The sequence below is a fragment of the Homo sapiens genome, chromosome 14, assembly GCF_000001405.40.
Source record: "Homo sapiens chromosome 14, GRCh38.p14 Primary Assembly".
NCBI classification, from domain to species: Eukaryota; Metazoa; Chordata; class Mammalia; order Primates; family Hominidae; genus Homo; species Homo sapiens.
In genome coordinates, this window is record NC_000014.9 from 104,576,176 (window position 1) to 104,590,556 (window position 14,381).

General features: G+C 62.9%; 1 protein-coding gene across 5 annotated transcripts, besides 2 other annotated features; it reads left to right on the forward strand.

Annotated features, from left to right (window-relative positions):
• Nucleotides 1–3,588: 3,588 nt before the first annotated feature.
• On the forward strand, nucleotides 3,589–14,340 carry C14orf180 (chromosome 14 open reading frame 180). 5 transcript variants are annotated; one of them, NM_001008404.3, is made up of 5 exons: nucleotides 3,589–3,828; nucleotides 10,240–10,366; nucleotides 11,574–11,703; nucleotides 12,099–12,134; nucleotides 12,403–14,340. In NM_001008404.3, exons 2-5 carry the CDS (start codon nucleotides 10,256–10,258, stop codon nucleotides 12,606–12,608), a joined length of 483 nt encoding a protein of 160 aa, NP_001008404.1. In that variant the 5' UTR covers nucleotides 3,589–3,828; nucleotides 10,240–10,255; the 3' UTR covers nucleotides 12,609–14,340. The 5 variants fall into 5 exon arrangements, with proteins under 5 accessions (NP_001008404.1, NP_001273328.1, NP_001273329.1 ...); NM_001286399.2 differs by having other exon boundaries at nucleotides 12,447–13,672; NM_001286400.2 differs by lacking the exon at nucleotides 3,589–3,828 and adding an exon at nucleotides 5,085–5,450.
• Nucleotides 11,041–11,600: an enhancer, noted in NCBI's record as "H3K27ac-H3K4me1 hESC enhancer chr14:105053553-105054112 (GRCh37/hg19 assembly coordinates)". NCBI's record gives its function as "activates a minimal SCP1, AML or CMV promoter by ChIP-STARR-seq in primed H9 embryonic stem cells {active_cell/tissue: H9 hESC(primed)}" and the evidence as "EXISTENCE:reporter gene assay evidence [ECO:0000049][PMID:30033119]".
• Nucleotides 11,601–12,158: an enhancer, noted in NCBI's record as "H3K27ac-H3K4me1 hESC enhancer chr14:105054113-105054670 (GRCh37/hg19 assembly coordinates)". NCBI's record gives its function as "activates a minimal SCP1, AML or CMV promoter by ChIP-STARR-seq in primed H9 embryonic stem cells {active_cell/tissue: H9 hESC(primed)}" and the evidence as "EXISTENCE:reporter gene assay evidence [ECO:0000049][PMID:30033119]".
• Nucleotides 14,341–14,381: the final 41 nt, after the last annotated feature.

Consider the following 14,381-nt stretch of genomic DNA (forward strand, 5'->3'; position numbering starts at 1 on the left):
CCCAGGTTCCGGCTCTCACCCAGAGCATGCGTCAGCCCCTCTAACCCCAAACCCACACTCCTCCCTCATTTCCCTCATTTCCTCTCCTCTTCTCCTGGACCCCACCCTCAGGCTTCACTCCCACCAACCCCCAGGGTGCCTGGGCCAAGCCCACCTGTGACCACCACGTGGCAAGTCCTGTGAGGACTTCACTCCTTGTCCCTCCTGACCTAGCACTGGCTCTGAGTGTGCCAGTGGCAAAGACCTGCTCATGCGGCCTCCACCGGCCCTGGACTCACCCACCACCGCCACCCCTGCCTGCCCTCTCCCGTAGTCCTCTCCAGGGCCTTCTCACCGTGGTCATGGTTTATGGGGCCTCTCATGACCCCATCAGCCACCGTCCCCACCCAGCTGGAGACCCTCAACCAAGCCCTCTCAGGGGGTTTCCTGTGGTCATGAAGCAGCTGACGACCCACTGCAGAGACGAGAGCTACAAAGATGCATTCCCACTGTAGCAGAGGGAGCTGGGATCAGGACAGCCTCAGCTGCATTTTCACTGCCCCAGAGGGAGCTGGGCTCAGGACGGCCTTAGCTGGGCGTTCCCACGACAGCAGAGGGAGCTGGGCTCAAGACAGCCTCAGCTGGGCGTTCCCCCTACGGCAGAGGGAGCTGGGATCAGGACAGCCTCAGCCCGGCGTTCCTCCTGCTACAGAGGGAGCTGGGCTCAGGACAGCCTCAGCTGGGTGTTCCCACTACAGCAGAGAGAGCTGGGCTCAGGACAGCCTCAGCTGGGTGTTTTCACTGCCACAGAGGGAGCTGGGCTCAGGACAGCCTCAGCTGGGCATTCCCACTGCAGCAGAGAGAGCTGGGCTCAGGACAGCCTCAGCTGGGCGTTTTCACTACCACAGAGGGAGCTGGGCTCAGGACAGCCTCAGCTGACAGGGGTGCAGCCCTGAGCCCCGGAGACGCCTGGAGAACCTTTGGACCCATTTCCACCACAAGCCCTGGTGCTGCAGTCGGCCAGCCTGCACGAATTTCCCCCCGGGCTGTATGCCAGACAGGGGAAGGGCCAGCCTCCAGGCCTCTGCGCAAGAGGGCCACGGCCAACTCCCACCCCCTGGGCCAACGCTGGCCTCTCTTGTGCCTGGGGTCCTTCTGCTTCAACCAGCTGTGGACCCCACCCCCATCTCCCCCACCCACCGGCCCTTTCTTCTCTGGCCCAGGTCAGCCTAGGGCCTCCACACCCTCCAGCCCCACCCCCGACCCTGCCTGGAGCCATGTATGAGGCCATGCTGAGGCCCAGGGCTCTCCGCACTCCAGCCAGACCATGGTCCAGGGAGAGCTGGGAGTCTAGGCCAGCACCACGTGGCCATGACCAGAGTAGCCACAATCTCCAGCCCCTGCAGCCTCCACTCCCACGTGCCGCCCTACTCCACCCCGGCCACCTTCCAGGACCACCCCAAGGAAACAGCCCAGCCCAGCCAGCTCGCTGGACTTTCCCAGCGCTCAGGAGTGCCCAGCCACTGGACATGCTCCGCCCTCCCGCTGAATGACAGCTGGCCTTAGTTGCTGTGTTCCCGGGGCACTGCTCAGGGTGGGTGCACCACAAAGATCTGGGGAGGGTGGGGCATCCGATCATTCCCAGCTCCCGGGGAGAGATGAGGGTGTGGCGGAGGTCACCTGGCTGAACAGTGACAGAGCTGGGCCCAAACCTGGGCACCACGTCATTGGCACCACTGCCCGTGGGCACATGTGCCCACCTGCCGGCTGCAGGCAGGCCTGACACAACTGGGCTCTTCCCTGGCACTGCCTGGCACAGGCACTGGGGACCCTCCGCGGACCCGGCAGCTCAGCACTCCCCTGGGCCAGCCTTATCTTGCCCTGCAGAGCCCAGGCTGGAGTGAGGCGCAATGGACGGAGGCGAGGAGGGTGCAGCCGAGCCCTATCAGATACGGCCGGAAATATGACCCCGCTGGGACCTGAGCCCTGAGCCGAGCCATCAGCTCACTAATAAATTACCCAGAGCGAATGTCCACAGGGTCAGCCCGCATCGCCTTTCCAGGGAGCACAGAGAGGGGGCGGCACCCAAGGTCTGTGGGCTGACCGTTCCCTCCCCTCTGTCAATGAGAAGGGTCAGGAAGGAGTTGTCCCGGAGCCCCCCGACCTCGGGCAGTGCAGCCTGACCTCTGAAATCTGGGAGGAGCAGCTCCAGCCCTGGGAAGCCAAGGATAAGCGCCCAGATTGGGCACAGGCGGGAGAGGGTCTTGTCTGGCTACAGGACCTCACTCTTCCCAGGAAGCCAGACTGCCAGCAGGACCACCCAGCCTTCCTCAGTGCTCTCCCTGGAACAAGCGTCAGCGAGCCAAGGCCCTCCTGCCAATCTGGCCCACCCCGTTTGTGTAGACACAGAGCGCACTGTGTGCCATATGGCCCTGTAAGAGAAAAGTTTGCTCCCCCATGCCCTGTACTGAAGACGGCAGTGAGGGGAGGGCCGGTCTGCTGAACCCCATCCCAGTGGCTGCGTTGCTCATGCTCTGACGGTGGGTTCCAGGACTCTGTGTCCATGCAGCCCCACGGCTGGCCCTGAGCAGTCACCCTCTGTGCACACTGTCCCCCAGCCTGGCACACCCTGGGCTCCCAGGGGTCCTGTAGCTTTACCCAAGGGAGATGCACCCCCATTCCTAATGGAGAAACACGGGTCTCTCCACACCTCCTCCAGCAGTCCCCTGAAACAGGTCAAAGCCCCACAAACCAGGCAGGGGTCTGCCCACATGTGGTGGTGCCCTGCGCCAGTGATGCCCTCACCAGCCTCTTTCAGACCTGCCTTTACATGCACCAGCAGACGGGGGGGCTGGCGAGGACGGGCCACCAAGCCTGAGCCAGGCTACCACCTCCGGGCTGTGTGACTCTGGACAGGGTGCCTCAACTCTCTGAGCTGCACTTTCACCTACAAATGAGGGGCAGACTCAGCAGCGCCAGGCAGGGCAGTTGGACGCCCACCCAGGACAGACCCTGAGAAAGGCTGATCCCTCACCCCTGCCATCGCTCACTGACCCATACATTGCCCCTTCCTGCCAGGGCAATATCGAGGGTCGGCCAGTGTGCCCCAAAACGGCAGCTTGGGACCCATTCTTTGCCTCTCCCTCTGGCAACCCCAGGTCAGGACTCACAGGGGCACAGGGGCCTGGGGCAGGGCGGGCACTCTCGCCACCACGGAGGCCCCATGCTGGGTCAGGGTCTTATTGGAGGCTGGACTCTGTGATCACCTCACCTCCCGCAGCCCCACAGTGCCCTCCCTCTCCCACTCTGCCCCGAATTCCAATCCATAGGTTTTTCCAAGAGCTGCACAGCTCTGGAATTGACCTGGGAGGGGGCACATTTGGGCCGGGAGGGGTAGGAACAGCAGCAAACTCTGGTCTTATCTGAAATCATGGTCTGTTGTCCACCGGGGGCCTGGGAAACAGCCACCCCCTTCTGCTCCGGGGCCAGCGGCCTGTCCTCGGGTTCACTGCTATTTCTGCCAAAGGGGAGAGGTAATTATAGCCTGGCCGCTGCCAGCTGGCCCAGCTTTGCGATCCAGCAGAGAGGGCTGGAGACGGGACGAAGGCCACAACAGACCCGGCCCTGCCAGCGGGCGGTGGCGCCTCCAGATCAGAGCCCTCGGGAAGGAGGCCTGGGCGGGCCTGGCCCGTTCACCTGTGTGCCCTGCAGTTCTGCCCGAGGCTCAACTCTCAAGGGCCTGGGAGGGGTGCTGCCGGCCAAGAGGGTCCAGGACCTCACTGGACTGTGCCCCACAGGGAGATCCCGAAGAGCCTGTTTCTGTCCCTCGGGGAGCCAGGAGGGAACCAGGTGAGTTCCAGCCCCAGGGAGAGGGGGCTCACTTCCTGCTTGGGTATGAAGATGCCAGAGCGGAGAGATTGCCAAAGGCAGGTGCAGGTGGGGAACCTGCCCCAGCTGGGCAGCAGGTGTGGGCAGAGACTGGGCAGAGCGGAGAGATTGCCAAAGGCAGGTGCAGGTGGGGAACCTGCCCCAGCTGGGCAGCAGGTGTGGGCAGAGACTGGGCAGAGCACACACTGATGATCCTGAGTGACCTGAACAAGCTCCAGAGTGGCCACCCTTCCCCCTTCTCCTGGGACTGATGGTTTCCCTAAAACGGAGACAGTCCCAGGCCGGCCCTGTGTCCACACTGAGGCCAGGCCGCCTCTGGGGGAAGCAGGGAACACGGCCACTTCAAACTTAGCAGCGGGGGTGCTCCTGGCCACACAGGAGCTTCCAAAGGGCACCTGATGTTGCGCGAAACAGCCTGGGCAGTGGGAGAAGGGGCTGCACTCTCAGGGGAATGCAGGCAGCCGTGCCAGGCATGAACCCAGCCAGCCTTCCCTGAAGGGCCTTGGTGGGGGGCATCCTCCGAGGGCAAGTCTACGCAGGCCCAGCCTAGCAGGAATGGATTCGTTACTCCAGTAACTGAAGCCTAGTTCTCAGTGTTTGGGAATCCCTGAGAACTGGCTCTTTTCTGAGCCGTCAGTCAGAAGGAATCCCTGTCCTGCCCTGTGTGGCCATGGGACCCCCACCCAGCACTGGACGCCACGCCATTTCTTGGGCACTACTGAGCTTTGCAGTGCCCTGGACAGTTGGCAAACAGCCCCCATTCCACATATGGGAGGAAGGGCCTGGGGGGGTCCCCCGCCCTGTCTGTCTGGAGCTCTCGAGGCCTAGGGTGGCCCCTGCACCCAGCAGATGAGCAGCCATCACCCGGTACTGCTGCTACCTCGAGCCCTAACTGCACCTCGGGATGTGAGGGCCCATCTAGGCATGGAGAGGGGCCTCAGGGGGCCACCAGGCAGCTCCTGCTCCTGTTCCTACCTGGTAGGGCCTGCAGGCACCTGAGCAAGCCCAGTGGGCGGTCAGCCCAGCCAGGGGCCTCCCCACAAGTTCTCCCTCTTACTTAAGTCGAGAACGCATGTTGTCTGGGGAGCTGCCAGCGTGGTTCCAGTGGTGAGCGTTGGGCTGGGAGCCAAGGCTTTTCCCAGGAGCCCAGCCACCCCGCCTGGCTGTGTTCTGCCTCCGCCCTGCAGAGGAAAGGCCAGCGAGGCAGTGTCCATGGTCCCAGTCTTCTTCCACCGGAAGAAGGCACAACCTGCATCTGCAGCCCCAGGGCCATTGGGTTAGGCCTGTGGCCAAACTACTAAGGTGCTGGGAGACTGAGGAGGCCCAGCTCCTCCTGGGGCCACCAAGCCCGTGGTTGACGGCCTCCCCATGGACCGGGCTGTCCCGAGAGCAGCAAGTCAGCCGGGGCCCTCAGGGCCGCTGAGGCCACTGCTCAGTGTCGCCGTAATGGAAACTTCTCAGCTGGTTGTGAGCCGCAACAGCTCTGGTTCACACCCTGCGACAGCGAGGCTGTGACCGCCAGTGGATCTCGGGGCTGATCAGGCCTGAGCCACCCCGGAGGTACAGCACCAGCAGGAGCCCAGGTGGGCAGGGGCAGAGAGAGAGAGAGAGAGAGAGAGAGAGTATGTATGTGTGTGTGTGTAAGTGGTGGGGGTGGGGGCTGTGAGTCTCCAGCTTCTCCCAGGGAGGTCTCTGGCTTCCCAGGAGCCTGGCCCCCTGTCTCCAGCTCCCAAGTGAGTTGCCCTGGGGGAGGCTGCACCTGGAACAGGGAAACAGGGAGCCTGGCCCCAGCCTGCACTCGCTCAGGCCCCGGGACCCTCTGCCCCTGGAAGGCTGTGAGGCTGCCGTGTGAATGGGTGCAGTGCCAGGCGAGGGGTGAGCCGGGAGTGTGGGGCCGCACGCTCAGAGCCGAGGAAGGGCAGTGCCAGGCGAGGGGTGAGCCGGGAGTGTGGGGCCGCACGCTCAGAGCCGAGGAAGGACCTCCCATGTGGGGTGGGTGGGATGTCAGGATTTCTCACGAGCCAGCTGCTGCATGGGGGGCACTGCCCGCCCCGAGGAACCCTCAGGGAGGACAGAGAAACATCAGGAGGTGGGCTGTGGGCAAAAGGGCGGGCGGCACGGGCCAGGCAGAGGCAGCAGCCTGGGAGGAGGCGGGAAGCCAGCGGGCGGCGTCCTGGAGGACGGGGCAGGAGTGGGAGGGAGCAGCAGTGGCTGGGCCCCAGAGCTTGGCGTTATCCAAGCCACAGAACCAGGCAAGAACCACTGGCCCGCCCCCACGCCCCACTGCAGGCTGGTCTCGAGGGGGAGGGACTCGGCACTGCCACGGCCGCTGGGCTCCATCAGTGCCCTCACGTCTCTCAGCAGCTTCAAGATGAGGTGGGGTCTTTGGGGTACTGGGCTAGACCCCCAAAGACTGTTGGAGGGTCACACCCCAGACCAAGGTCCTGGGCCTCAGCCCTCATGGCCCCACCTCCCACCAGCAGTACGGGCTGGTCATGCCCACAACTGGGAGCTCCGGGCCCTGACTCCCGCCTCTGTCCCAACCCAGGCTCTGAAACCTGGCAGGCTGTTCTCCCTCTCTGGGCCTCAGTTTCCCCTCCGCCAGGGAGCTCGGTGCCCCCTCTCAGTAGAGGAGCTGGTAAGAACCCCCCAGCCCCCCAGCACCAAGGGAGGCGCCATGGGGTTCCTGTTCCCAGAGTGGGGGTAGAGTCCCCTCGGGTGGACGCGCCCTCCCCAGCAGCGGGCCTAGCGGGACACTTACAGGTCCAGGCTCTGAAGCTATTTTCCGCCCTTTATCTCCCATCTGTCACGAGGCCTCCAGTTACACACTGTCCCTGCCAGAGGCCCCAGGCCTCCCCGCCCCCACCTGCCGAGCATGCCAGAGCCACTCCTTCCCTGCTTCCACTGGGGAAAATGAGGCCCAGGGAGGTCACACCACTTACCCGAGGTCACAGAGCCAAAGAAGGACAGAGCCCAGGACTTGAGCCAGACCTCTCTTCCAGAAGGGGAAGCGTGAAGCCCAGTTAGGGAGGGGATGGCAGGGCTCAGGGAGGCTGTCTGGGAGCAGAGCATGGCCCACGTGAAGGTGCATCTCTGGAGAGGGGACCGCGGAGCTCAGGGAGGCTGCCTGGGAGCAGAGCGTGGCCCACGTGAAGGTGCATCTCTGGAGAGGGGACCTCAGGGCTCAGGGAGGCTGCCTGGGAGCAGAGCGTGGCCCAGGGGAAGGTGCATCTCTGGAGAGGGCCCCAGGGCTCCCGGAGGGGAGGTGTCATCCCATAGGATGTCCTGACTGTCCAGACACAGCCAGAGCCACCTGAGCTCTGTTCCTGGGCACATTCCCTCCCCGAGTGATGCCAACAGTGGCTGATGGCACAGAGCACAGGCTTGGTGCGGACTCGGGTCTGTGCACTGACTCCCACCCTCACGCGAGCCCGCAGAGGCTGCTGCTCTCCTCACCCCCATTTCACAGCTGAGCAGACCAACGCCCAGGCAGATTAGGAGACTTGCCTAAGGTCACACGTGGTCACACAAGGTGCTCTGGAGCCCACACCTGAAGAGGGGGAGGTGCTGTCCCGTAGGAAGTCCTGACTGTCCACATTCCGGCAGAACTCTGTGCCCCAGAAGGCGAAGTCGCGTCCTCCCCAAGTTATGCTGCTCAGCAACAGATGGTTAATGCCACAGCCAGGCACCCTCACAAACACACTGCCTACGCCTGCACATTCACATACACTCTACACAAACACACACACATTCACCCACACATACGCAGATACACTCACACACACACACGGGCACATGCATGGACACACACACACATGCATATTCACATGCACGCACAGAAATACAAGTACACATATGCACACATAGCCACACCTCCATGCACACATTCACACACACAGACACCCCACACGTGCACACTCATGCCCTCTGACACACGTGCCCACTCTCACACTTGCACACTCAGGGGAATACTCACACATGTGTGCACTCACACACGTGCACACACACACTGTTTTCCCACCATCCCTTGGACAGACCCCAGGCCAAGGAGGGGTGAATAGCGAGAGCTGCTGGCAGGAGCTGGGGGAGACTGCGTCCAGCCCTGCATCCCTGCGTGACTCCGTCGGCCCAAGCCTCTCCAGGCCTGTTTCCCCATGAGGAGTGAACCTGGCTGGGCCCCCTGGAATGCTGCTGCAGGGTCGCCTGGCAAGGGGCTGTGGCCCTGGGCACGCCAGCCAGCCCCAGGCCGTGCAGCCCCAGGAAATGACCCCGAATGCACAAGCCTCCTTCCGCCGGGCAGTGGGAGAGCCCGGGCTCTGGGTCCAAGAGGTCACTGGGGGGCTCTGCTCCACCCCCAACCCCACCCTGGGCTTTAGCAGAGTTTCTATCCCACCCAGGGTGGAAACTGAGTCAATGGCATCCAGAGAGCCCTTCCAGCCCCAGCCCTGCTACGGACAGGCAGTCAAGGTTGCCCTGCCAGGCAGCATCCCCAAAACACCAGGACAGGCCTGGCACTCTGTGGCTTCCCTAACCCTGGGGATCACGCAGAGCCCACATTCCAGGTGACCTGGCCCCAGGAGACGGGGCCCCAGCTCAGCTGGGCCTGCAAGCACAACCTCTCCCACAGCCACTCTCTGAGAGCAGGTCCTGAAGATAAGCCGCCCCTCCCCGCCACCCCCCTGGATGGCCGGCTCCTGCCACAACCCTATTTGCAATAAAAACCTGATCCGGCGATAGCAGAAAATTGCTCTCTTTTGAAATAATTGAACCCGTCCAGACAGTGTCCTCCCAGACATCATTAACAGGGCACTCTGCTTGTCTGCAGTATTTATGCCCACTTGGGGAGGTGGTCATGGCCACCCTGTTATCTCCTGTAGAGGACGGCACACGGCTGCTGGAGTCACTGCAGTATCCACCCAAACCACTCCTCCCACAGGCCTGCCCTGAACCTCTGAGGCACCCATCCCTTTGGGGGACCCTGGAGGAGTTATCCTTGAGGACCATGTAGGCCCCTCACTCTCACCCTCCCCCTTCTCAGCCCTTGGGGGCAGGGTCCTTGGAGGACCACGGGGAGCCAGGGAAGCATCTCAGGAAATGCAAACACCTGCCCTGTGAGGGGCAGGGGCGGCAGTACCCTCCAAGGACCCCAGGGCAGGGGAGAACCTGAAGGGCAGCAGGAGGTCCCCACACTGCCCCCTATCCAGCTGGGAGCAGGGCAGGGAGGACCTGGCCTGGCATCAGCTCCCAGGGAAGCCCCAGCCCCCTCTGGCCTCAGTTTCCCGACCTGAAGCAAGAGAGGCAGGCTCATCACCCCCAGAGCCCTTGAAAGGCAGACACCTGCACCTGCACAGATGCCTGGTAGGCACTGCACCCCTCTGTAGGGAGGAGTGCCCAAAAGTCAAGAACCCTGCCAAGGCTGTGAGAGAAAATTCACACTTGGGGGGCTCCACCGGTGAGCACGAATGAGGAGAGCACAGCCTCTGCCGCCAAAGACACGGGGGTGGAGGCGAGGAGGCGCCATTCACAGCCAGGAAGCAACCAGCGCAACAGAGGAGGGGACAGAGAGACAGAGATAGAGGTAGAGAGATAGAGAGAGAATCAGAGAGAGGAAGGGGGACAGAGACAGAAACAGGGAGATAGAGACAGAATTAGAGAGAGGCAGGGAGACAGAGATGGAGACAGAGAGAGAGACATAGAAAGATAGAGACAGAATCAGAGAGAGGCAGGGGGACAGAGAGATGGAGACAGAGAGATAGAGACACAGAATCGGCGGGGGCGCGGTGCAGAGAGAGACACAGAGAGAGAGTGTGAGCCGTGCTGAGGGGTGGGCCCCCAGGAGCCCAGGGGCGCCCCACCAGCACCAGCCCAAAAAGGTGGGCATGACCCTCTGGGAAGCCTTTCTGTGGACCCGGTCTCAGAGCCCTGACAATTCCCAGTCCCCAGCCCCAGGGCTTCCCGCTACCGAAAGGAGACAAAGCAAAGATGTTTCTTGCAGCCTTATCCATGACCTCCAAACATTGCAAATGACAATACTAAAATGCAACCCTCATGAATACCCAATCATCGAGGGTGACTTTCAGTGACGGGACCTCGGCCCAGTGGAATATTATGCAGCCATTAAAGATGATAATTATGAAGACCGTGGCAGCAAAGGAAATTGCTTGCGATGGCATTTCTGAACGAGCAGGGAACAGGATTTACCTGCACTGGGGACACCACAGAGGAAAAGTGGTGTCTGCTCAACAGCGTGGCCGGTCGCAAGCCCGGGAAGCCAGCCTGGCTTCCAGGAAAGAATTTTCTCCTCCTCTTATTTTCATTCCTCTGAGTGCCACTTGTGCAGTAAATAATAAATAACGTCTCTGCTTATCTTAGGACCATGTTCCAGTAAATGAGGACTGCAGCAGGAGCCGTGAGCCCTGACTCCCGGCCAGAGACACGACGTCAGACCAGAAAGAATGAGGAGGCCGCGTGGGGCCCGCGGGTGTGCAGGGCAGAGAGGGTAAGGCGGGCCGCTGGGACACAGCTTCTGCAAGCTGGCCTTCCACTGGGGGCTGGAGGGGGCAGGGAGCAACAGACGTGGAAAGGCCATCCTCCACCCCAGGAATCAGGGGGTGATAGGAGGAGGGCAGGGGGATCACTGAGGGCTGGGGGGAGCAGCGGGGGGCAATGGGTGCCTTGAAGGATTTGGTCTGGCAGAGGAGATTGGAGGCCCCCAGGTGGGGCACAGCTTGGCAGAGGAAGTGGGAGCCATGGAGGGCTGTGGAAGAGGCAGCTCAGGGAGGAGGGTGTTGGAGGAGGGAAGAGGGTGGAGAGAGGACAGGTCAAGACTGTCACCAAGGGTCAGTGTTAGGGTTAGGGGCCCAGACCTCAGACCCTGAGGCTCCATCCAGCCTCTGAGGCACTGCCAGGCTGGGGCATGCCACAGGCACAGCAGGAGCTGGGCCAGACTCAGCATGGGCAGGCCTCACGCCCTCGCGGGGCAGCCTCGCCAGATGCCGAGCAGCAGGCTGTGTACAGCGAGCAATGCCCCAGCCAGGAACAACCTCAGAGCTGGCCCGGCTCCCAGGGTGCCTCAGCCCCAGTTGTCACCATGTCACAGACAAGGATGCTGAGGTTCACAGCAGCCCGAAACTCCCACTCCATCTTCCAGACTCAGGCTGGGCCCATACACGTGAGCAGACCAGCAGAGAAAGGGCCCAGGTAGGCAAATGTGTAGGAGCTGCCCCCGCCTGCAGCCTGGGAGGCTCGGCCCCAGGGAAAAGGAGGCCGAGGCCACCAACCAGCCCTCCTCACGGCCCTGGCCCGGCCCCTGCCCCATAGAGCTTGCAAACTCTGGCCCCTTAGCCAGAGCCCCTCTGCCATTGCAGCCCCCTCCCCCTGTCCACATGTCCTGGGGACCCTGTCCAGCAGCCTGCATCCGAGACAGCGGGCAGACGAAGAGAGGTTCAGTGGGGACTTGCGTGAAGAGACGGGGTCAGGAGGGGCTCCTGTCTTGCCTGGGCCCCTGAGGCTGAGTCTGGCTGCCCTGCAGTCCCTGTCCAGGAGCTGCCCCTCACCCTACAGGAAGTGACAGGCCCAGCATAGCGCACCAGCCAGGACAGGGTACAGGTTCCAGGACGGTGCTGCTGGGCCCCACATGGCTCAGACCTGGGTACCAGCGGCCTCCCGCCGGGGACTCACCAGTCTGCTTCCCGCCCCCACACCAGGAGGACAACAGGAAGTGCCCCCCCTCCATCCTGAAACGGAGCCGGCCGGAGCACCACCGCCCAGAGGCCAAGCCCCAGAGGACCTCGAGGCGCGTGTGGTTCCGAGAACCCCCAGCGGTGACCGTCCACTGTAAGAGGGCACCCGCAGCAAGCAGCTGGGAGAGGGTGGAGTCAAGCAGAGGGAGGCGGGGACACCGGCCACACCCACACAGCTCTGGCAGGGCCCAGGACATGGGGGGGCCGTGGCCACCTGCCTTCAGTGCCACAACCCCTGTAAGACCTGGGCCCCTGGGGTCATCTGGACACACAGTCCCGGTCCATGAAACAGCAACTGGAGGAGAACATGAGGGCGGATTCTCAAATCATGACTGTCCCTTTGAGGAAGTGTCAGGACCGGCTGGGCCTGGGTCTCTCACTGATGAATAGTCTCAGGGTCCTTCGGGGGTGCAGGGTGAGACGAGAGGGCGGGGGCGCCCGATGGACTGAGGCAGGTGCCCCCAGCTGACTCTCCATTCTCTTTCGCAGACATTGCTGACAAGAACGCCACAGCCACTGTCAGGGGTGAGTTCTGAGCCCACATCCCTGTGCCCCACTGCCCCCTCCGTGGGTGCACCCACCCTCACTCCCTCCCCGAGGGAGGTGTCACAGGGCCAGGGCCTCTAAGGAGTCCCCAGTTGGGGAGCTCTTGTTGCAAGGAGACCCCAAGAGGCTAGGGAGGGGCCATGGGCATGGACAGGGTGGAATCTCCCCATCCCTTCCCCACCAGCCCCAGTCCTCCAGGGAAGGGTCGCGCTGGCTGGCGCTGACCCTGCCTGCCCTCTGGCCGCAGTGCCCGGCCGGCCCAGGCCACACGGCGGCTCCCTGCTCCTGCAGCTGTGTGTGTGCGTCCTGCTCGTGCTGGCCCTGGGCCTATACTGCGGCCGGGCCAAGCCCGTGGCAACGGCACTGGAGGACCTGCGGGCCCGGCTCCTCGGCCTTGTCCTGCACCTGCGGCACGTGGCCCTCACCTGCTGGCGCGGCCTCCTGCGGCTCTGACGGGCAGGACGGGCAGGACGGGCAGGGCTTCCAGGAGAGCTCAAGCACTCCGGGGGCTCCGAGACAGCCTGAGCCCTGGCCCTGCTGCTTGGTGAATCATGGGGGCCAAAAGGGGCTGCTGCCTGAGGGCTAACTAGGAAAAGGGGGACCCCGTGGCGTGAGATCGGACATGGGGGGCACAGCAGGCGGCCCCGCCACACTAGTCAGCACAGCCCTCCTGTCTCCTGTGTTGGGTCCATGTGAGATTTTATTAGAAAGAGGATTCGACTGCTAACAGTTGAGGCTCCCCAGGCTCACCCAAAGACCCCTCCCTCGTCCCAGCAGGAACTCCTGCTGCTGCTAGGGCCTGGCCCGGCCATCACCGTGTGCACCCTCTTGAGGAGGGGGACACACTGCCCGTGTTCAAGGGGCTGCTCGGAGGAGGCAAACCCAGCCTTTTGCGATTATGGCTTGTGGGGAATCCAGACCTCGAAACCCCACGGGGAGGGAAGGGTCTGGTTGTCAAGGTGGGTCCCTTTGATGTGAGGTGCCATCCTCTGAGCCCAGGTCTGACCCCCCTACCCAGCCCCGTGAGTCTGGAGAGGCCCCAGGGAAGGACCCCTCATCAGGGGCGGCTTCAGGTGTAGAAGCCGAGGGGACAGCAAGGGGCCCAGACACCCCCGACCTTCAGAACAGCCATCTGTGCCCAGCTCTGCAGGCCAGGCACACCCAGCTGAGCCCGGGGCCAGCCAGCACCACCCACCAGCTGGGGCCTGTGGGTCCCGGAGACCGTCTGTGGTTGTGGCTTTGTCGCCGGATTGCAGAGCTGAAGGGAGCCCTGTGGATGACAAACACCAGGGGCCTCTCCAGACCCTACGTGGGGGGAGGGCTGAACAAAGCAGGGAGGCCCACGGTTAGACACCAGGCAGAACTGCCCAGGAGAGACACAGGGACAATCAGACCAGCGTCCTCGAGGTTAGCCTGAGGCGGGTGGGCACGGCCGACCATCCACCCGGTGGTTCCTGTTTGTCCCACCACTTAACTGGGAGACACTGTTTTATTAAAACACACCGTGGCTTCCTTCAGTCTTGGTGTTTTTATAGAAATGAGAGAAACCAGAACCGATTTGCTAAGGAATCGGCCTCAGTGGCCAAAGCGGATGTCCTGGGCGCCTGGAACCTCCCCATCTCCTGCAGGCCTGGGAGTGGATGTGTCCACTCGGGCAGGGGCTGACCAAGCCCCTGGGTCTTGAGGGATGCCCGGCCGGCTCCCTTTGCCCTGCAGTCAGGGTGTGTCCCTGCAACTCCAGGTGCCAGGGAACAGGTGAAGTGGTCTCCAGGGTCACTTCCAGCTTTGGAATCCAGGGAGCCCAGAGTTGCGGGTGGAGGTAACAAAAGGGGCTGTTTCCAGAAGTGGCCCAGAAGGGACCATGGTGGGGGCTCCCCCGGGGACCCTCCAGCATCTCTCCCCAGGCCCAGCCCATCCCACCCCACCCCAGGAAGGAGGATGGGCAGGTTCCTGCCCCATATTCTGGATGCAGAAGCAGCGGCTCCCAGAGGTTGGGTCTCTCAGAGCAGTCACAGGCCCAGGCTCAGCCCTGTGTGCTTGGGACACCCCTCCAGCCCCGGTTCTGACGGGGGACACCGCACAGGCCGATCTCCCCCAGCCGCTGCTGTCTGTCCACTGCAAAGGCAACGCAAGGACGTGCCTGGCTTTGCGGGGTCCCACGCTACGACCTCAGGTGTTTTCGAATAAACATTGCTCAAAGATGGGCACCACACCCCCAAGAGATCC